Here is a 24,335-nt window from a genome sequence, read left to right on the forward strand (position 1 = left end):
ATCCACCCGCCTTGGCCTCCCAAAGTGTTGGGATTACAGGCGTGAGCCACTGCGCCCAGCCAAAAGGTCACTTTTTAAACTTAAAAATTATTAAGGAAACAGTGAGGCCGGGAGCGGTGGCTCACGCCTGTAATCCCAGCACTTTGGGAGGCCGAGGCGGGCGGATCACGAGGTCAGGAGATCGAGACCATCCCGGCTAAAACGGTGAAACCCCGTCTCTACTAAAAATACAAAAAATTAGCCGGGCATAGTGGCGGGCGCCTGTAGTCCCAGCTACTTGGGAGGCTGAGGCAGGAGAATGGCGTGAACCCGGGAGGCGGAGCTTGCAGTGAGCCGGGATTGCGCCACTGCACTCCAGCCTGGGCGACAGAGCGAGACTCCGTCTCAAAAAAAAAAAAAAAAAAAAAAAAAACAGTGAAACCTTAATGTTTAAAAGAGTAGAAATAGGGAAAATTATTACACAGAAAAAGATAAACAACAGAGAAAGATAAATAAATTGCCAGTGAATATGTAAAAAGTTGCTCAGCAGCAGTGGTAGTTCAAATCCAAGTAGCACTGAGTTAGCATTTGTTAACTAATAAATTGGCAAAAATTATATTTTGATAAAACCCAGTGTTGTTGACATCCCAAGAAAAAGGGCTATGCTCACACAGCCTTGGAGCATGTGCACATTGATGATTTTTTTGGCATAAAAATTAGTGGTTTCTATTAAAATCAGCAGTGTAATTCACAATCGCTAAGACATGGAATCAACCTAGGTGCCCATCAACTGTGGCTTGGATAAAGAAAATATGGTACATATATGTCATGGAATACTTTGCAGCCATAAAAAAGAATAAAATCATGTCCTTTACAGCAACATGGATGCAACTCGATGCCATTATGCTAAGCGAATTAACACAGGAATAGAAAACCAAATACCACATATTCTCACTTATAAGCAGGAGCTAAACATTGAGTACACGTGGACACAAAGATGGGAACAATAGAAACTGGGGACTACTCGAGGGTAGAAGGAGGGAGGGGGTAAAGGTTGAAAAACAACTACTATGCCTAGTACCTGAGTGATCGGATCAATCATGCCGCAAACCTCAGCATTACACAACATACCCATGTAACAAACCTGCACATGTACCCACTGTATCTAAAATCAAAAGTTGAAATTATAAAAAATAAAAAAATAAAATCAACAATGTATATTTCTCTCACACAGCCATCACGATGATGTATTTGGAATAAGATATGCATAAGGATGTTCGTTGCAGTGTTGTCTGCAAGGGCAAAGTGAAAACAATCTGAATAACCAACAATATGACACAGAGTAAGTAATTATTGGTACGTCTGTACAATGCCTCATGCAATCACCACTGACAGCGTGGGAAAGAGAGACATCTATTATGAAAAGACCACTAAGACATATGATTACATGATAAGTGCAAGGTTCATGAATAAATAGCATGTATACTAGTATAGCATACTTCTTTCTAAGAAAGAAACCATAACACATACAAGAATGGACAAGAAGTTATTAACAATAGCTAACTTTGGTGATAAGACTGTAGGTTGTAAAAAGCCAGACTTTCATTTCTCATTTTAAACCCAATGAATTATTTAAATCTAACCCTACTGCATTCATTATCTTTATAATAAAATAAATATGTATAACAATGAAACATAGTTTTTAAGTATTTGGGACATAAATTAAACATTAATAGATTACACCTCTTAAACTTGGTACTTTAGTATCCCATTTCTCTGTGAGAACTCTGAAAGCTTCATCTTCCACAGTTTAGGTAATTCTTTGGTGTCTTATTTTGTTATTTTCTTGCCCTGAGATTAGCAATGTCAGATCTCCAAACTGCTAACTCTTCTCTTTGGCAGATCAAATGCTTCTTCTTAAAAAAATTAAGTTTTTAAAATGTATTTCATAGGATTTTTGTTCTCTCTCTCCCTCTTTTTGTGCATATGTGTGTGTGTCTGATTAGTCTTTATTATCTTAAAATGGTTAGTCCTGATAGACCTGTTTCTTCAAAATTTCTCTCAGTTCTTTGGCAGTTTGCTCTTAGCTTATAATTAAAGATCAATTTCTGACTTGTCTTGTTCTAGAAAACCTCAATGGAAATTACAGCAAGCTGAATAGGATATTAATTAAAAACATAAACCTGGTGAAACCCGAACATAGAGGCTCCAGTTCAAAGATGCTTCCAATAGTTGACATGGCCCTTCATTCCTTAAAACCAGCTATTTTTCTTTCGAATTACATTACCTTTACTTCTGTAAATTGGATGTTATATAGTACCATGAAAACTGCTGTGAGTAATTATAATACTCATTGCTGAGTGATGTGACTTCTTTCTCAAGGCTATTTCTGAGGGAAATTGTACAATTAGATCTTTAGGTATTGTGACTTGTTTTGGAAATCATGGTGGCCCTCCAGGGAGCTAATGAATCTTTAATTATTTAGAGGTTCACATGAGACCCCTTACAGATATAAGCACATTAGCTCTGTAGCTAAGGGAACATTTAAAAACAGTAACATGAAATGTGTCAGACATAGAGGAAAGATGAAGAAGCAAGTAGAAGCTAATGCAAACAGAGGAACTGCCAGCTCTCTGTGGCACTCTAGCTCTCTCTGTCAGTATTTGGTTGGCAATGTAGACATAGTGGATGAGTGCAATTACATATGTTAGGCTCATTCTGAAATGCAGGAGCATTTTAGATTTTCATGTAGAAGCCTGACAAGCAAACTACATCTAGGATATACTTTGATAACTTTGAGTTGAGAGCCAAATTTTTTGAAGGTAAACCATCTCCCTGTTTTAAAGTAGTGTTTAAAATTATAAAAATTTTAATACATCTGTAATGTAAAATATTTAGCTATAAATACTACAAGTGCAAATGAATTTTTTTTTCTACTTCTGCATTCAACTTTTCTCTTCTCCCTTTAGGGAAAACACTTTTGTGTAAAGGCCTCCAAAATATATGTAGAGGCGTATGTATGTTAAAAACATGTATACATATAATGCATAACCAAACAAATGAAATATCCTAAACATATGGACCTGAAAATTGCTTATAATAGATTTGAACTGAACATATAGGCATAAATGTGGTTCAGAAGTGTCCAGTTGAAGCAACTTCACTTTGTTAGGTCAACAAAAGTTGGGGACACCAAGATCTACCCCTCTGATTTTGTTCTAGCATTATCTTAATGGAAATGTTTACTGAAATGGAAATACATGTAGTGGACATCGTGGTGGTGTCTCAAGCATTCAGTGTTCCCTGCTCTCACACACTCCTAACCAAATAATGAATTTCTCAGCTTCACAATGTTTAAGTGACATGAGTCCCATGCCCAATTCTTGGTCATTGTAATTGGTGCATGGAAGGAACCTGTGCCTTCTGCTAATCAAATCAGAATGAAGTACAACTTTTTCATTCCATGATTGAAGAGGGAAATGCCTTCTTTCCAAATGCAGCAGAGGAAGCACGAGGTACTAGGATTGGAAGTTGTCTACTCATGACATGATATTTTAAGCCATAGAATAAAACTGAGACCTAATGTCTTAGTCCTTTCAGGTCGCTATACCAGAATATCACAGCCTGGATGGTTTATGAACAACATAAATTTATTTCTTACAGTTCTAGAGGCCAGGAAGTCCAAGATCAAGGTGTCAACAGATTCAGGGTCTAATGAGGATTTGTTTCCTGGTTCACAGACAGCTGTCTTTTTGCTGTGTCCTCACATGGTGGAAGGGGCTAGGAAGTTCTCTAAGGTCTCTTTTATAAGGGCACTAATCCCATTCATGAGGGCTCTGTCCTCATGACCTAATCACCCCCCGAAGACCCACTGCCAAATATCATCACACTAGGGATTAGATTTAAACATACAAATTTTGGGGGACTACAAACATTCAATCTATATCACTTAAGGTAGAGTGAAGAAACAGGGAGGACAAGAAGCATTTATTTTGTGTCATTATTAAACTTCTGCATTAAACTATCTTGAGCCTATACTATTGTTCAAAATCTCTTTATTATACAAGCCATTTTGAATTTTGATTGTTTGCAACCAAAATTAACCTAATAAGTTAAAATGTACTATAACGTTACATCATAATTTGTCTGTACTAGTAGTATTTGCTAGAGTGTTTAGGGGAATACTTGCTTGTTAACTTTTTAGTAAATATAACACTCCATGTTCAAATACATTTGGGAAATGCTGAGCATTTCACACTTTTAGAGACTCAAAACAGGCAGCACATTTTTAAAAAATAAAAATAAAACCAAATAGCATTGCATTTGGAGAATGGTACAAAAAAAGAGAATTTGATAAACCGGAGTTATCAGAACTCAGTGGATACTATGTGTTAGACATTATTATAAGCCATTAAACATTTTACAAGCTTGATACCTGAGTTAAAAATTAATAACCCAAAGACACATTGGAAGAGAAAAGTTGACATATTTTTATTATATTAATGACCTAAAAATATCATAGCAACTAACGTCATTATAGTCAACAAGTGAATGAACGTAAATAATATTAAATAACTATTAGAAAGTCTCTCTGATTAAGCATGGAAATAAATAGGCAGTGCTTTTGACCAATAAATGGAGGACTTACAATATTTTCCAATACGAAACAAAAAGATTCTAAATGTAAAGGTTTTAGGCCCAAAATATGTTAGTCAATTCATGACAGCAGAAATTCAGCAGGTCATATTTTTGGGGTAATGTAAATGACAATAGAAATCATGGACTAAAGTGTAACAAATAAGTAATATCTAGGCAGGTGGAAATTTTAAGATCTTTTAAATTAACTTCTGGACTATAGCAAAAATTCAAACTAAAATTCATCAGGGAGTCAGGGAAGGTCAAATGAAGAAGCATGGGGATTGAGGCAAAAACCCTGAATTATACCAATATTATCTTTTTTTTTTTGAGACAGGATCTTGCTCTGTTACCCAGGCTGGAGTGCAGTGGTGCAATCATAGTTCACTGCAACCGCGACCTCCTAGGCTCAAGGGATCCTCCCACCTCAGCCTCTTGAGTATCTGGGACTACAGACCCTCATCACCAAAACACCCATCTAATTTATTTATTTTTTGTAAAGATGAGGTCTCACTTTGTTGCTCAGGCTGACAAGTATTATCTTAATGTTATAGAAAAAAAGTAATTCTGGCCATATATAGGTATTATTCTTTGCAGTGGAATATCATTTCAGAAATTTGTGCCAAACATAAAATTAGTTTTCTAGTAGTAAAAAGTAATTAAACTCTTTAAATTATTATTACCCCTAATATACTGGGGAATGGGTGTGTGTTCCAAATGAAAAAACTTGGGATGTCTAATGAGATGCTGTTTTCTGTCGCAGAAAATCTATGTAAAATGTTTTTTCTCACGTGTACACTGTTGATATTTGAGACAGCACATGTTAACACTTCAAGAAGTAAAATAAATGTGTTGATTATATCCACAGTTTTCATATTTATTAACTATATATTTCATTTTTAATGTAATGCCTATTGAAAAACCTGTAAATAGTTGTTTCTTAAAATTGATAAATACTGCCTAAGATTTTTCTGTATATTTTCATATTTCAATTTTCCTGTGAGGTTAGAATGAACACTTTTAGCTAAGACATTTGGGCCTCTAAATCCTAAACCTTTCAGAATGTTAGTTTATTATTTGGTTTTTACCTAAATTATTTTCTGCTTATTCAAGAACCTTAGGTCTATCCAGTTACGTTTTTATTTTTTTATTTTTATTTTTTTACTTTGAAACAAAGTCTCGCTCTGTTGCCAAAGCTGGAGTGCATTGGCATGATCTCGGCTCACTGCAACCTCTGCCTCCCAGGTTCAAGTGATTCTCCTGCCTCAACCTCCTGAGTAGCTGGGATTACAGGGGCATACCACCACACCCAGCTAATTTTTGCATTTTTAGTAGAGATGGGGTTTCACCATGCTGGCCAGGCTGGTCTCAAACTCCTGACTTCAGGTGATCTGCCCACCTCAGGATCCCAAAGTGCTGGGATTATAGGCGTGAGCCACCATGCCTGGCTGTATCCAGTTACATTTTTAAGACCAGCCAGGCTTAATATATATTTGGTCTTTAGCTCAATTCAATTTGTTGCATTTTGTCCATTGTACTTCATGTGACACAGAATATATCTTAATTTAAAAAGACATATGTTTGTTGAGCTATCTGTTACGTTGGTATATCTTGGAATTTTAAAAAATATAAACCACAGAAGCCAATTATGGCTGACATTAACAATAAATAGGTTTATCACAGAAATAGTGGGGAACTTGTAGAACTGTTGAGAAGGCTAGAGAGCCAGATCAAAGCTAGGCAGCCAGGAAATGTACCCCAAACCATGCTGTAGAACTCATCCAGGGAGGAAACCACTGTCACCACCAGTAAGAAGTAACACCGAAGATGCAGAGAGCAACAATTGCAGCAATTGCTCAATCCTAGGCTAACTGCAAAGCCACCAGCACCACTCCCACTTGTTCGCTTTGCAACAGATATTGTAGCAGCTGCTACATGGCCTCCACCAGAAACAAGAGAAAGCATAACTGAATCTGCTTCTTTTTTTATTAATTCCAAAGTCGAAATTCAGCACTGGCAAACAGATTGGCAAAACCTAAGTCATATGCTTGTACCCTAGCTGCAAAGGAGGCTGAGAAAGCAAGCATTTGGCATTTTAGCTTCTAAAGCAGGAGGTGGTTTCTTGTTTTCGTCAAAACTGAGAGGCTGAGGAATTCCTCAAACACAGAAACAAACATCAAATAATAAATATTCATGCTTTAACTTGCTCAATATCAATATAAACTTTCCCTTTTGAAAGTAAACACGAAAGACCCAAGCTTCCTTCTAACAGAGTGCAACTATTTCTCTAATAATTGAACATGTACCTACAATCTCTTGAACAATGAAACAATAAAAAATTCTCAATCACACCATGTACTCTAAGTCTAAGAATTCTGGGTTATGTCCATTCCTCTACGAAGTTCTTCACTATACTCTCTTGACATTCTGCCATATATCATTTAAAAATTAAGTTAATCACCCTCAATAAGCCCTGTTTTAAAAAGAGGGATAAATGGAGAGGAAGGAAGGAAAGTTGTTAAGATACATAAGTATGCACAGGACAATACAAGAGAAACAATGTGTTTGGATGTCAAGGCTCTCCTTTCTGCAAGTGGCCAGCAGGTCACTATTGGCATCTATGGCCATGTGCCCTCAGCTAACACCTCTGCTAGTCAGGGTTTTGCCTTGTGAGATGACCAAATATTCATTCCTGACAGAGAAATGTCCTTGGTAATCTTTTTGTGTGAGCGTGCCATGGTCATTGTTAATTTCTTTCATTTAACAAAATAATAGACTTTATTTTTTGAGCAGTTTTAGCTTTATGGAAAGATCGAGCAGAAAGTACAGAGTTCTCACATACTGTCACCTTTATCCCACCCCCAGTTTACATTAGGGTTCACTCTTTGTGTGGTACAGGTCTAGGAGTTTTGCAAAACGCATAATGTCATGTACCCATCATTACATTATTACCAACGTATTTTCAATCCCCTAAAAATCGCCTGTTTCAGAACTATTTATCTCCCTACCCATCCCCAAACTCCTGGCAACCACTGAGCTTTTTTGTTGTTGTTGTTGTTACTTAGTTTTTATTTCATAATCATAAACTTAACTCAACTCTGCAATCCAGCTAGGCATGGAAGGGAACAAGGAAAACATGGAACCCAAAGGGAACTGCAGCAAGAGCACAAAGATTCTAGGATATTGCAAGCAAATGTGGTGGAGGGGTGCTCTCCTGAGCTACAGAATGAATGGGTCTGGTGGTGAAAATAAAACACAAGTCAAACTCATTAGAATTGTCCACAGTCAGCAATGGTGATCTTCTTGCTGGTCTTGCTATTCCTGTACCCAAAGTGCTCCATGGCTTCCACAATATTCACACGTTCTTTCACCTTGCCAAAGGCCACATGCTTGCCATCCAACCACTCAGTCTTGGCAGTGCAGATGAATAACTGGGAGCCATTTGTGTTGGGTCCAGCATTTACCATGGACAAGATGCCAGAACCTGTATGCTTTCGGATGAGGTTCTCATCATCAAATTTCTCCCCATAGATGGACTTGTCATCGGTGCCATTAGGGCGTGTGAAGTCACCACCCTGACACATAAACCCTGGAATAATTCTGTGAAAGCAGGAACCCTTATAACGAAATCCTTTCTCTCCAGTGCTCAGAGCACGAAAGTTTTCTGCTGTCTTTGGAATCTTGTCTGCAAACAGTTTGATGGAGATGCGGCCCAAGGGCTTGCCGTCGACGGTGATGTCAAAAAAGACGACGGAGTTGACCATGGCTGATAGTACAGGGCTCACAGCGATGGTGGCGTCTGCAAAGATAACCACTGATCTTTTTACTGTCTTTATAGTTTGGCCTTTTCCAGAATGTCGTATAGTTGAAATCACAGTATGTACCCTTTTCAGACTGGCTTCTTTCACTTAGCAAAATGTCTTTGTTTTTTCTGTATCTTTTTGTGGCTTGATAGTTTTTTCCTTTTAGCACTGAATAATATTCCACTGTAGGAATATACCACAGTTTGCTTATGCAGTCACTTATTGAAGGACATCTTGGTTGCTTCCAAGCTTTGGCAGTCTTCATTTCTTTCTTTCTTTCTTTCTTTCTTTCTTTCTTTCTTTCTTTCTTTCTTTCTTTCTTTCTTTCTTTCTTTCTTCTTCTTTTTTTTTTTTGGAGACAGAGTCTTGCTCTGTCACCCAGGCTGGAGTGAAGTGGCACAATCTCAGCTCATTGCAACCTCCGCCTCCCAGGTTCAAGTGATTCTCTTCCTCAGCCTCTGGAGTAGCTGGGATTACAGGTGTGCACCACCACACCTGGTTAGTCTTCAGGAATATTTACAGGACTGTATAGAATTAGGAGCCATCAAAGGGGATCCCTGAATTCTTTCTGTTTTTCTTACAAATACCAGTTTTAAGGTCAAGATTTACTACCCCATGCAACAGTGTAGCCGCATTTTAAATTTTAAATTTTTGACTGTTTGTTTAAAGGTCTCAGGCAACCTAAAAGGCTAGATAGAAGTCTCTCATCCTCTAACGAAGGATGGATTGTAAAATGGAATACTGCTAAGACTCTCCCTTTGGGTACTAATTCTGCAAAAACCTAGAATCTCAGAGACAAGAGACAAGTATTTGGAGTGGATCATTAGATGTAATGACAAAAGGAGTCACTTCAACATTCATAACAAATATCAAAGATTGTTGTATTTTTTATATGGGAGACACCAGACAAGCTTATACTTAGTTACTAGTTCAGAGGATACACCACCACATCCTCTAGCATGAGTACAACCTTATAAGCCATTGTCTCCAGCTGGCACTGTGATTGAGTCTTTAATAAAATATTCACCATTCTATAATAATAATAATTTTGGTTAGTGATAGGATAAATGGCAGACCAGGTGAGTCCAATGAATATCTACTCATTTGTTATACAACAAGTTCTTTTAATAGAAGGATGTAGAACAGGATATTATGGCAGTATATATAAGGCATTCAATGTACCCGTGGAGAGTGGCGATCAGAGAAAAATGATGTCAGGTAAAGCAAATGTAATTCAAGGATAAAGGTAGATTCCATTTACAAAATTCCTTGTTGCCTTTATCATAGAGGAGCTCCAATAAAATCAACAAGTCTGACAAAAGGTGACTGGTTTATTCACCCAGGATATGTTATTGTGTGCTTAGCCTTGGACTTTGTTGCTTGTGTGTTGGACACCTAATAGTCTTGACAGCTAAATAGGCTTTTGTAAGCGAGAGTGGTAAAGTCCAACATGTTGCTAAACCTATGTGTATTCTCTACTGCTACCACCAATGTTGCTGTTTATTAGCCTTCTGAGCAAGCAATGTAGTGCCTGGTGAAAGAGATTGTTTCATACCTTCATATCTATTTGATAACCTTCCTGATGATAGTTTGGTGAGCATTCGTATTAAGCACAAATATTCTTACACTCTGGCTCATTTTCTGTGGTTCATCTACATATTTTTTCCCCAAAACTCATTGCCACCAATCCTTCAGTCTTTGTCTTTCCGAGTCCCTAATTATCTTTTCTTTTCTTTTCTTTTTTTTTTTTTTTTTTTTTGAGACAGAGTTTCGCTTTGTTGCCCAGGCTGGAGTGCAGTGGTGCAATCTTGGTTCACTGCAACTTCTTCCTCCTGGATTCAAGAGATTCTCCTGCCTCAGCCTCCCAAGTAGCTAGGATTGCAGGCACACACCACCACATCTGGCTAATTTTTGTATTTTTAGTAGAGACGGAGTTTCACCATGTCAGCCAGGCTGGTTTCGAACTCCTGACCTCAGACAATCCACCTGTCTTGTCCTCCAAAAGTTCTGGGATTACAGGTGTGAGCCATCAGGCCTGGCTCCAAGTCCCTAATTATCTAGACAAATTATTAGCTGCCACATATACATCAATAATATCTCTCCTTCTAGACATCGTGGACAACCAATTACATAGGCTGAATTTCTTTTAAAATTGCATTCACGTAGGTTATAATGCCTAAGCAATCTACTTTTGGCTGCTGCTGTGATGTTGTACAGTGACTTCTGTAAATCAGGCTCAATTTTTCCCTCACTAATCAACTGGCCATAGAGAACTTCCCATGAAGACATAGGTATAGATTCTATTATTCCTACCTGCTGATGAAGCAGGATAGTTAATTGGAAAACACTTATTTCATGATAAGCAGCTCATGTTGTCATATTTTTTTGCATTGATAGGACTTCAGTTTCTACAATGGTCCAGGATCAATCAAGAGTTCTTTAAAGAAAACATTTATTTTGTCAAAGAAAGAAGCATTTTGTTCCAAATCCTAAGAACAATAGTAGTGGTGTGTCAGAGGCTCTATTGCATCTGGATATAAAAACAAAGGGGCACAATATTCCTGACCAGTTGGGAATTATTATCTTGATCTCAATCCCATCAAAAGGTGGCAGCATGACAAGTCATGAAGTAAAAGGACCAGGTGATAAAATGAGGTCTCCAAAATCCAAAGCATCAAAGTTCTCAGTTAGTGGTCAGGGCTGCAAAGTGCCATAATTTTTCACTTTGGAAGGTATATCTTGAGAATATTGAGTGTATGAGACAAGTTAAAAGGTCATGCAGCCAGACGCGGTGGCTCACACCTGTAATCCCAGCACTTAGGGAAGCTGAGGTGGGCGGATCATGAGGTCAGGAGTTCAAGACCAGCCTGGCCAATATGGTGAAACCCCATCTCTACTAAAAATACAAAAATTAGTGGGGCATCGTGGTGCCCTCCTGCAGTCCCAGCTACTTGGGAGGCTGAGGCAGCAGAATCGCTTGAACCCTGAAGGCGGAGGTTGCAGTGAGCTGAGTTGGCGCCACTGCATCCAGCCTTGGCAACACCGCGAGACTCTGTCTCTTAAAAAAACTAAAAAAAATAAAAATAAAAAAAATTTAAAAGTTCGTGAATAACACCTCTGTTAGCCTCTGATTTTTATAATAATTATCACACACACACAAACCAAACACCACACATAGAGGAAACAGTAAAAGATTAAAGGACACAGCTAAAAATACATTTGTATTATTACTTCCCAAAGTTCTAAAATTATCAGAAGGGACTAGTGAATCTTTAAAAAATATTGATTATCCAACACTTTTTAATAACCAGTATAATTGCATTGAAGGCTACTGAACATGCACATGTTCCTAAAATTTTTCTGTTATGGTGTCTGGTTTGCGAAAGGAACAAAATTAAACATAGTTCCTTGGCAATTTTTCCCTCTTCCACTCTACTAATTGGCGTATGTGCGATGTGTGTTTATTGTAAAACAGGAATAAGATTCAGAGGTCAAGAATCAAAGTGAGTCAGAGTAGGAAAAGCCAGACTCAAGCATAACAGAAGGGCAGAGCCTGTCAAACCCCAAAATTAAAGGGTAAATTTCAACACAAGTAGAAGTGGTTCAAAAGCTAAGGGCATCCTCATAGTTCATGAAAAGCAAGTATTCACGCAGGTAGCAGACTCTAATCTGCTTCAAGCCAATGTGCTATTCTCTTCGTGTTATTTATATCCCTCAGAATACCTCAAAGTTCCCAAGAGCAGTCAGTATTTAACTCTAAACTATATCATCTATATGATATATTTATTATATATAATATATATATTTATTATATGTATAATACATATTATATTTATATTGATTATATATAATATATATATATTTATTATTATATATTTTTTTGAGACGGAGTTTTGCTTTTGTTGCCCAGGCTGGAGTGCAATGGCGCTATCTCGGCTCACCACAACCTCTGCCTCCCAGGTTCAAGTGATTCTCCTGCCTCAGCGTCCTGAGTAGCTGGGATTACAGGCATGTGCCACCACGCCTGGTTAATTTTGTATTTTTAATAGAGAAGGGGTTTCTCCATGTTAGTCAGGCTGGTATTGAACTCCCATCCTCAGGTGATCTGCCTGCCTCGGCCTCCCAAAGTGCTGGGATTATAGGTGTGAGCCAACGTGCCCAGCCAACTATGTAATATTTTAATTGTGTAGTGATAACCCTCATCAAAAGAAGTATTCATTATGGTCAGTGTACTCTGCTTATTTACCACTGAAGCTTAACACAAAATTGTTGAAATAAACATGCATATTGAAGTACTTAGCTAGCTATTGAGGCAATACAGGTTTCTAGATTTACTCATTTTTTTCAGTGTACACACATGTCATGTGTGTCATGATAAACCCATGTGTGTGCATATATTGATTAAATATTATATTTCTTTTTACTTTTATTATTATTATTGAGAAAAGGTCTCACTCTGTCGCCCAGGCTGGAGTGCAGCGGCACAATCTCGGCTGCCTGCAGCCTTGTCCTCCCAAAGCCCTAGACCCTGTAACATAATGGAATATGTATGTTTCTAATTTGTGCAATATGGAAGCAGGAATACTACATAGAACTTTCATCTTTTCCTATTGCATTTATTTTGGTGTGGAAAAATATAATAATTGGCTTCAGTCAGTAAGTCTATTTCATTCAAGAATATTTAAATATAATCCAAACCATCTTAGGTACATTTTGTGATACAAGAGGATGGTATCTTCTATTTGGAAATATAAAATCCCAGGGTCTCACAGTTTAAGTATACTTTCCAGGGGTATGTATAAAACAAGAATCCCACTTTACAAAGTTAATAGAAAAAATATATGCTAATTGGAAGGAGAGGCTTCTGATTGAGGATAAAGTGGAAATTTTCACATACTGCTAATTACACTTTAATGGAGTAAGAAAAAAAGAATTGGAAATAGTACCCTATAAAACTTCTGAAATGAAATTACAGTTTCTCTCTCTCTCTCTCTCTTTTTTTTTTTTCTTGAGATGGAGTTTCGCTCTTGTTGCCCAGGCGAGAGTGCAATGGCGCTATCTCAGCACACTGCAACCTTCACCTCCCGGGTTTAAGTGATTCTTTTGCCTCAGCCTCCCAAGTAGCTGGGATTACAGGCATGCACCACCATGCCCGCTAATTTTTTGTATTTTTAGTGACCCACCACGCCTGGCTGTCTCCTCTTTTTAGAATTAGGAGAACTGATTTTTTTCAGTGCTAAACTGGCACTGTCCTATGTTTTCAAGAAAGCAATATGGTGAAACGGAAGAGTCTGGATAGCATGTTTTGTTAGCTGGCGTCTAGTTCTTTAAGTTCCATGAGTCTATTGTGTCTTCTTTACATCTCAAAAAGAAGAGAGAAGAAACCTGCATCTAATTACTGAAGCAGTTTCATTCAGCAAATGTAATTGCATCGCAGGCACATCTCAAATTAAAAATCTTCATCTTGGTCTCTGTCATTTCCATTTTAAACTGGGACTGAATAACCTGTTTTGCCACTCAAAATAATAGCCAGTGTCTCTTTCTTATTAAAATATGTGATCTTTTGCTTGATTACCTAATTATGTCACCTGCACCTTACGTGAGGCAGATAGAAGAGTCTTCCAGTCTGCCAGAGCAGATCTACCAAACTAGACTGCACATACAAATTACCTGGGGATCCTGATAAATTGCAGATTCTGAGTCTGCCTTCAAACGGCCTCAAGTCAAGCTGATGGTATTAGTCCCAGGATCCCTCACTGAGTAGCAAGGTCTTAGAATTAAAAAGTGTGCAAGTATAAGGCCGGGAGCAGTGGCTCATGCCTGTAATCCCAGCACTTTGGGAGGCCAAGGCGGGTGGATCACCTGAGGTCAGGAGTTCGAGACCAGCCTGGCCAACATGGTGAAACCCCGTCTCTACTAAAAATACAAAAAAATAGCCAGGTGTGGTGGCACGCACCTGTAATCCCAGCTACTCAGAAGGCTGAGGCAGAAGAATTGCTTGAACCTGGGAGGTGGAGGTTGCAGTGAGCCAAGATCACGCCACTACACTCCAGCCTGGGCTCCAGCCTGGGCAACAACAGCAAAACTCCATAAAAAAAAAAAAAAGTGCAAGTTTATAAACATGGAAACGTGGACAATTGTAAGCAATATTAGAGAACTGTAGAAAACAATTTTTTAAGTGATATGTTTAACCTATTTAGAATAAAACCCATTATGGTCCTAGGAATTTCTGGAACTGCCTTACTTGTGAGAAACATGATCCTAAGATGCCCATTTGTTTATCAGTACATCAATTTTCTCCTTCTTAAATTGGTATCATTATTTTCTTCCAAGAAGCCTAGCACACTTTTGTTGTTGTCATTGAAAGAGGGCATATAAGGGTTATGGCTGCTATTTGGAGAAATGCATTAGAAAATAAAAAGCTTGAAAAAGTTGTATTACTGAGAAAAAAGTTGAATGAAAATAAGAAAGATTAAATTGAAATAAATAATGAATCAGTAAGGTATGCACTGTTAAACACTTGATGAGATTTCCCAAGTATCGACATGCTGATAACTTGAAATAAGAATGGGAGAAAAGGTCAATCTGAATTCTTAAAATGTTGAAGGCTGGGAATAAGAAGTAATATATCACAGAATCTGATAGAAAAATTTTTATTTATTTTATGGGAGAAAATGGGAGACTAACATACAATAGGAATAGGAAAGAATTAATAGAAATAGCAAAAAGAAGTGTATCTGCAATTATTAATATAATACAAGAGGACATTGTGTAGAGATATTTAAAGAAAGATTGATGAAATTTAGATTTATGGTGAAATATCCTAATAAAGACATTATTTATAATCAACTGTTCATAATTATTATATAATTCTGACAGTTTTAGGATATAAATGTAAGGCAGAATGATCTAATATAAAATGTATAAATGGGACAACATATAATTTTGCTTAGGAAGTTGAATAAATAAAGTAGTGATTTACAATTTGCATTAATATAAAAAAATTTAAAAAATGGTTTACATTTTGTTTGAAATGGATGATAAACAGGAAAAGAGTAATTTAGTACATTGAGTAATTTAGTACATTGGTCACCAAAGAAATACAAATTGAAACTATAAGATCCCTTCTCCCATCTTTGTCAGATTTGTAGGTATAAAAACAGTAGTAGTTGTATTGGTTGGAGAACAGAAAGATGACACTTTCATATGCGGCTGATTAGAGCACAGATTGGTATATTATTTCTGAGATGCAATTTGAAAATATGTACCATCAGCCTCAAAGATGATTATGACCATGTGTCACTACTTTCTTGGAAATCATTATTAATGCATGTATAGATTGATGTTTACTGTAGTATTACTTAACATAATGAGTTGAGTACAACCTTCACTCCCAAAAAACATGAGGTAGGGGTGAACTAGTTAAATATACAATCACAATGAGCTATGACAAAATGCAGTTACTTAAAAGCACATTTATAAGACTATTAATGGCAATAAACATGATTTGATATAATGTTTTCAAAAATTAGGGGAATTCTATTCCCAGCATTGTGGTAGACTAAATTTGCTGAATCACTATCCTGCTATATGAAATCTACAAATACCAGATAAAATGTACATGTCATTTTTCAAAAGTATATTACTGACTTGAATAGAAACTAAGGTGAACCACATAGGCCAAGCATAAGGAGAATACATAAATCCAGAGAGGTATGCAGACCCCCAAACCAGAAGCTTCCATAAGGACAGTCCTGGCCCTAGTACCCTGAGCTTCAATTTTTATGACCACCTGGGATATGGGAGAGTGTGAGACAAAACCTAGTGCCTGCCCATTATAGCAGTCTTACAGGAGAAAACTGCTGAAAGCCAGAGATACGAAGGACTATAATTTCAGGGAAAGGATAAACTAGATAAAAACCTGTTCCTCAGCGGGAGACAACCAGGAAATTTTCCTGCCTCAAACTCGGTGCTATTTAGAGGAAAAATGAGAAGGCCATCTTCACATGAATTTGTGGTTTAAATTTTCACTGTAAGTATAAGTTAAAAAAAACCCACACATGAAACTGATAATTTATTTTATAGTTATCCCATGTTGGTATTACCACCAAACACAAGACGAAGGCAAAGTGTCTTTGGAGAAACCCACATTCAGCCCATGTCTCAAAGAATGGCCACAGGTAAAATTTCATCCAAAATGAGAAAAAAGTAAGACTCTTACAAAACTCATGAGGAAATAAACATCATGAGCAGAAACAGAATTATGCCCATAAAGATTTCAGATATTAGGATGATTATATAACTATAAAAGCTGTGTTTAATATGTTTAAAAAATCAATGAGGTGTGCCAGGAATATAAATTGAGACAGTGTATGTATCTTATATTAAGCAGATTGAAACTGAATTTAAGAGATCTTTTAGAAATAAAAAATATAATGAAAATTAAAAACTAAATGGACAGGTTAAACACAATATTGGATAGAACCAAAAAGAAAATAAGTGAGTTGGAAGTTAGACTAAACAAATTATGCTGAAGACAGTACAGAGGAGGAAAGGAAAATGGATATGTGAAATAGAGGTTGAAAAATTAGAGTATCTAATCATATCTGCAAAAGAAAAATTGAATTGGGGGAAGGTTATATTTAAGGTTATATTTAATATCTGAGGGCTTTTCGTCATTGGAATTTATTAATGTTCAAGGAAACCTGGAAAGTTTTCTAACACATTAAAGGAGCTTTAATTATAAGTTCCAAATTCTTCTTAGAAGAAGAGAACCAGCAGGCCCAGACATTTTTACTGGTGAGTTCTATCAAATGTTTTCAAGAAATGGATTATTTCCATTTTATAAAAACAACTCCAGAATAAAAAAAGGTCCATTTGTTCGTTCATTTCATGAGGCCAGTACAACCTTGATACCAATATTATATGAGAAATGTGTAAGACAGGAAAATTACATGCCAACTTTCCTCATGAACCTAACGGCAAACATTTTAAATTAAAAGTTAGCAAATTAAGTTTAGAAGTCTATAAAAAAGATAATATAGTATGAAAATTGTGTTTGTTCCATGAATGCAAGGATTTCTAACAATAGAAAAAAAAACTATGTATAATTCATCACATTAACAAGTTAAAGGAGGAAAAGCAAATCATCATTGTAGGAGAGGCAAAAAGTGAATTCAATAAAATGAAATATTTAACTTTGACAAATCTTGTTTAGCAAACAAGAAATAGAAGAGCTTTCAATGTTTGCTTATAAATCAGAAACTATTCTTCGTCTTTCAAGCAGAGGTGATTTAATACAGGTGATTGATTACACAAGTGATGGAAGCCAAACCAGGCTTGGTGAGTCAGCAGCCCATATTTAATATATTTATATATTAAATATTTAATTATACTTCAAAACTTTTATGTACACTATAATCTCATTATTGTTTTCTATACTATTATATGCAATATACAAATACAGAAATACAGAAATGTACCTCAGTTTGAAAGAGAACTTGAATATGAGGCAAAAAGATACCCCCAAATTATAGTTACATTACAAGAATTGAATTTAAGAAGGAAGAAGCAAATTGCAAGAGATAAGGCCAAGCCTCTTTAGTAATGATCATTCTAAATCCAATTGGTATAAATTTAGGGACGCACAACTGGATTGCAGTGTAACTAAGAAAGTTTGTGTGTCAATAACCATATTTATCCTATGTGAAGAAATAATAGTTTCATAGGAGAAGGTTAATTGGCATGGAGTCTGTAAAAGAGAAGTTTGGATAGATGATTGAGCTATGTATTTGTCAAATAATATCTAAAGGTAAAAAGAGATCTAGTTCACAGAGGCGAATCTCTGATTTTTCAATTTGCATTAACAGAAACAACATTGGAAGGGAGTATATTAAGATTTTAATAGTGACGATTTCTGCCAATGGTTTCTGTTTTATTGTTTACTATTTTCGGTATATTTCCAATGTTTCTTAATAAGTGTTTATTATTTAAAAAATGAGAAAACAGCAATGAGTAATTCAGTAAAATAAAATTTTTCAAAATTGTGACTGCTATGATTATGAGCCAATTATGAAAGAAAGAGACACAGATAGAAATAGGGTGACCAATCTTTCAACTTACTCAGGAATGAAGGATTTTCTGGATGGGGGATTTTTGTTGCTAAAATCGGGACAGTAGGGGACATGTTGGGACTGTGGAAAAACCCTACAGGGATTTATTTCCTAACTATGAATTTCTATCTTGGTCTAGAGACGACTGTTCTCATAAATAGGTAGAGTAGATGTGGTATTTCTGGAATGAGATTTAACATCTTTACATAGCTTGCCCTATTAAAAGTAGACAAATGCTTGTGAGAGAATATCATATACTTTTGAAAGCTAATGTCTTAACTAATTCGCTGTGAGCAAAGCTCTTGAAGACTGTGATGTAACAGAGATTCCTAGGTATCAGTGAAGATACGGAGATGAAAAAAGGGAAGTTGAAAAAAGAAGCTGAGAGATAAGCATGGAAATCATTTTCCAACCTCATTTTTCCAATCTCCATTTTCCTGTATTGAGAAGTGAAAATATGTTTTCTAGAGATAAAGTTCTAGAAATGAACTCTGACATAGATATTTTAAAACCCATTTCAGAAACAAAATAATATGTGAACCTAGAGTAGTTGTAATTTATGTCCTTTTGTCTGTCTTTATCCTGTAGTTAAGTTTCCCTTGGGATCTCTTTGGGAAAATGGAGTACTGCATTTTACAAGGCAGGACTTGAATTTTCTTTCTTTTCCTTCTTTCTCTCTTTCTTTCTTTCTTTCCTTTTCTTTCTTCTTTCTCTCTTTTTCTTTCTTCCTTTCCTTCCTTCCTTTTTCTTTTCTTTCTTTCTCTCTTTCTTTCTTCCTCTCTCTCTTTTTCTCTTCCTTCTTTCTTTCTTTGTTCCTTTCTTTCTTTCTTCTTTCTGTCTTCTTTTCCTTCCTTCCTTCCTTCCTTCCTTCCTTCCTTCCTTCCTTCCTTCCTTCCTCTTCTTCCTTTCTTTTTCTTTCTCCTTTCTTTCTTTTTTTTTTTTTGACATGATCTCACTTTGTCACCCAGGCTAGAGTGCAGTGATGTGATCATAGCTTAATGCAGCCTCTCTCTCCTGGGCTCAAGCAATCCTCCCACCTCAGCTTCCAGAGTACCTGGGGCTACAGCTGCGTGCCACCATGCCCAGCTAAAGGACTTGAATTTTCTTACATATCTTGGCCCTATAGAGTGGCTCTCAACCTCGGCTGCACATGTCTATTACCTGAGAAAAGTTTTAAATAACCTAATACTCAGGTCACACCCTAGACTTTAGGGGTGAGACAAGCATTAATATTTTTTAACACTCTTAGAATTAAGAGCCACTAATATTGTAGCACTGCAATTCCTATAAAGAGAACAGATGTGAGTAGATTTGTTACAGTATTGTTGTATTCATCTGTTTTCATGCTGCTGATAAAGACATACCTGAGACCGGGCAATTTACAAAAGAAAGAGGTTTAATGGACTTACAGTTCCACATGGGTGGGGAGGCCTCACAATCATGGTGGAGGACAAAGAGGAGCAAGTCACATCTTACATGGATGGCAGCAGGCAAAGAGACAGCTTGTGCAGGGAAACTCCCATTTTAAAAATGATCAGATCTCATGAGACTTACTCACTAACACAAGAACAGCACAGGAAAGACCCATCCTCATGATTCAGTTATCTCCCACTGGGCCCCTCCCACAACATGTGGGAATTATGGGAGCTACAAGATGAGATTGGGTGTGGACACAGCCAAACCATATCAATTGTCATCACTCAAGGCAGATGAGTATATAGAAAGCTATCAGTTGTAAGGAATTGGACTAAGTTTAAGAGAATAATAATTAAGATAGAACAAATGTTTGGTCCTGCTTAAGGGCTAGGATAGATGAGGCACAATAGAATCATGTGGGGAGCTGTAAAAATGCCCAGGCCCTACTCTGTGTCAATTAAATCAGAATCCAGAATCTCTGCTTGAGTGTGTCTAGAGTATTGGTCAAAGGAAACAGTGATTTTGATGTGCAGCCAGTTAAGAGCTGGTATCCTCAAGGATCATGATGTGACACAGCTGTTTCAGAAGGGTAAATCTCCATACTCCCACTTTAGAAGAAAAGAAAAGGCAAAATGACAAAACAATCAAGCAAAAGGGCTGGAAGAGCTGGTAGATAACAGGGTGTCAACTTGAATTAATTCAGCTCTTTGGTAAAGATTAGCTGGAGTAAAGAAATTCCAGTTAGTCAAATGGGATGAATGTCCTTTTATGGAAACCATATCATGCTTTTTGAATGATCTGAGAAAGACTGGAAGCATTAGAGGTGAAGTATATCCATTTGCTCAATGGGAAAAGATTTTGTTTTATTTTATTTACAAAATGTGATATGCTTGGCCATCTGCAGTAGTGCCTGAAAGGGGATGTAAAACGGAAAATGTAGTCAGTGAGACTGATTAATAACCATGGGTAGAAAAATAGGCCAAGTGGAAAAACTTATTCATATAATTGCTTCATTTTGCTGACTGCAAAAGGATTTGTTTTGGAAGTGATTTCTGCTCTTTAACCTAGTGGATTGATAGATCACAGAAAGGTCTTAGAAATGACATTACGTAATTTTGTTCATAACATGAAATTAGCTTGAATCAAAAAATGTATACCATTTTTTTGTATCTACCTTCTAAGACATTTGTCTTGAGAAATTAATGATTCTACAACATAAATAGTCATTGTGAAAGGAAGGAAAAAGATAACAGAGGGCTTTCATAATAATCATGGACTCAAGATTATCTAATTTAAAAAGACATATCTCATTTTCCTTTACTTAAACATAAAACAAATGAGAGAAAACAGAAATAGCTCATAATTTTATTTATCTGATAAAACATGCTGACATAAAAATATAATTCATGCACCCAGTAAGAAAATCAAAAAATTAAATAAAGGTAAAAATGAAATATAAAATTCTCTTTCCTCTAGTCTCTTACCCCCAGACATCTGGAATCTCTCCTTAAGATAATCACTGTTGACAATTTCTTGAGTATCTTTTTAAAAATGACCTTAATACACATCCCCCGTATAGAATATAGATCTTAAACAAGTTAGAAAATAAAATTTTATCTTTTAGTATTACACAAAAGGATGTTCAGAACTAGGCTTTGTATTTTTTTTTTCTAGAGATGAGGTCTCACTGTGTTGCCCAGGTTGGTCTCAAACTCCTGGGCTCAAGCAATCCTCCCGCCTCAGTCTCCAAAAGTGTTGGGATTATAAGCATGAGATGAAGTCTTGCCTGGCCTAGGCTTTCTATTTTTGTTTAATAATTTACCTTCAAGATATTCTTAACTTTTAACAACTGTATTGTATAAATATATTTTTTATTTAAACAATAGGCTACCAATAACATTAATAACATATCTTGGTTTATGTATTTTACAAGATTCTCCATGTGATAAATTCCAACCTGAGAAGTTGCTATAGAACATATGAATTTAACATTTTTTAATTGCTGCGATCTAATATGATCCTAAAACATGGCCCTAGTTTATATTCCTATGAAAATGTCTAATACCTACACTCTTGCTAACATTGACTGCTATTGCATTTTAAAGACTCATTAATTTGATTGGATTGATGTTGAACATCTTCTGTTACTCTTGGCCATTGCATTTCTTTTTCTACCTATTAATCTCCCTTGTATAATATTGCATTATTTGTCTTTTTTGTCTCATTTATTGACAAAGATTAAAGTTATTGGCAGTAGTGAAAATGGAGAAAAAAATCAAAATTCAAATACTGTAGAGTACAATATTTTGGAGAATAATTTGATTCTATATATTGAAATTTAAATTGTCTTTAATCTTTGACCCAGTTATTCTATTTCTAGTAATTTTTCTACCCAAATAATAATTCAGGAAGAAAACCTTTACGGAGATTATTCTTATAATGTTTGTGATACAATATTTACAGGCAACATAAATTCTCATCCAGAGATCGGAGTAAATATTATATAGTATATCTGTAGAACGAAATGTACCTTGCTGTTTAAATGAATAAATTAGTTATTATCATAAAATAAATGTCATGTAAAGACATTTATTTTATGGTGTATAAAATTAGAAAAACAAGTTATTAAAAATAACATGATTTTTTGTAAAATGCTTTTATTTTGTTTTTAATTGACATAATAATTGCACATGTTTATGGGGTACAGTGTGGTGCTTTAGTGCATGTGTACATTGCGTAATGGTCAAATTTAAAAATTAAATGTATTGATAGAAGAAGTGTTTGGATATTTGTATCCTAAATGCTAACAGTGATGATATCTGGAATGTGGAACTGCTGGTAATTTTTCCCTTTTTCTTTTAGAGATTTTTGTACTTATTTTTAATAATAAACATATACTAATTTTATAATAAAAATAACAATGAAGTCCTTTCCATTTTGAAAAATTAATTCCAATAGAAAAATACTGTACTCAAGCCACTTTCCAGGGTTTTCTTATTCTTAGTGCTGGTATAAGGTACCAGTGATATTATATTTTCAGATATGTTTGGCTTTTCTGCCTTATGGTTGAAGATGAGCTTAGGAAGTATTGCTGCCTAATTTTCAGGCTTTTGAGCCAATGCTTGGTGCACAAAAAGCACCACATCAACTTTAAACAGAATATTCTGCTTCTTTAGACTGTATTTCCTACTTTTTATAGTATTTATTAGTGCCAGAACTCTGTGACTGTTTCCCAAAGAACAAGAGAGAAAGATCAAGGAAAGTGAGAAGCAATGAAACTAGATTTAATTAATACTCTGGCTTGTCAGCAGCTTTCATGAAAGATTTGTTTGTTGAAGAAGTTGAACCTATTAGCTTAAACAGGGATTAACTCTGCCAACTCTGACAGAGCATGGACAATTAAGAGTTTATTGGAAATTAATTGAAAATAATACAGTGTTGTGAGGTGGGATGAAGATGATTTCCTTTAAGGAAATTATGCCAAGTGTTTTGAATCAGCCAAGGATAAACAAATGCAGACTATCATTTGATGGAGGTATTATAAACTGATAACATGATTCGAAGTATAAGAATGGCAAATTGTGAAGAATGAATAAAATTACAGAGATAAATAGCAAAAATGTGAAACTAAAATAAAGAGGAACAGTGAGTAAACGGGGTTAGCTGAGAATATGGTTTAACAGGGCATACTCTATTCATTTATGAAGAAATTTTAATCCTCAAAATGCTACTTGTCTTAGTCTGTGTAGGCTGCTGTAACAAAATACCACAAGCTGAGTAACTTATAAACAACAGAAATTTCTTACAGTTGTGCAGGCTGGGAAGTCCAATATCAAGGCAGATTCAGCATCTGGGGTGAGGTTCACCCTTCTGGCTCATAGATGGCAACTTCCTGCTGTATCCCCATACTTTGGAAGGGGCCAATGAGCTCTCTGGGATCTCTTTTATAAGGGCACAAATTCCATTGATGAGAATCTTGTCCTCATGACCTAATCACCTCCCCAAGGCTCTATCTCCTAACACGAGTAGCTTGGGGGTTAGGATTTCAATATACAAATTTGGGGGGACATAAACAGTCAGTCTGTGACATTGCCATTTCATCAGTAAGAATTTTCATGAACTCACTATTAAGATTTATGTTTAGGTTTTTTATGCGGATGTTCTCACTTTATAATATTGTTTGTCTGCATAGTTTAAAGAAAAGGACAATGCCCAATTAGAACAGGAGGTGTCTTTTGTTGGCCAGCAAAATATTTTAAGATGCCTTGAGTGTGACCCTACATAGAGATCATCAAGGTAACATCATTTTGTTCTTGTTCTAGATCCACATGTTTCACTCAAGATCCCAGAAAGAAAATGTAAGAAAACACATTGGAAGACAATAATCCAT

At 36.1% G+C, this 24,335-nt stretch overlaps 1 protein-coding gene and 1 pseudogene across 1 annotated transcript; both read right to left on the bottom strand.

Annotated features, from left to right (window-relative positions):
- Nucleotides 1-24,335, bottom strand: part of SEC22B4P (SEC22 homolog B4, pseudogene) — a 61,006-nt pseudogene that overhangs the window by 20,781 nt on the left and 15,890 nt on the right.
- Nucleotides 7,669-8,428, bottom strand: PPIAL4H (peptidylprolyl isomerase A like 4H). Its single transcript, NM_001368128.3, has one exon. It carries the CDS (start codon nt 8,376-8,378, stop codon nt 7,884-7,886), a length of 495 nt encoding a protein of 164 aa, NP_001355057.1. The 5' UTR covers nt 8,379-8,428; the 3' UTR covers nt 7,669-7,883.

Source organism: Homo sapiens, chromosome 1 (genome assembly GCF_000001405.40).
Source record: "Homo sapiens chromosome 1, GRCh38.p14 Primary Assembly".
In the NCBI taxonomy this organism is placed as follows: Eukaryota; Metazoa; Chordata; class Mammalia; order Primates; family Hominidae; genus Homo; species Homo sapiens.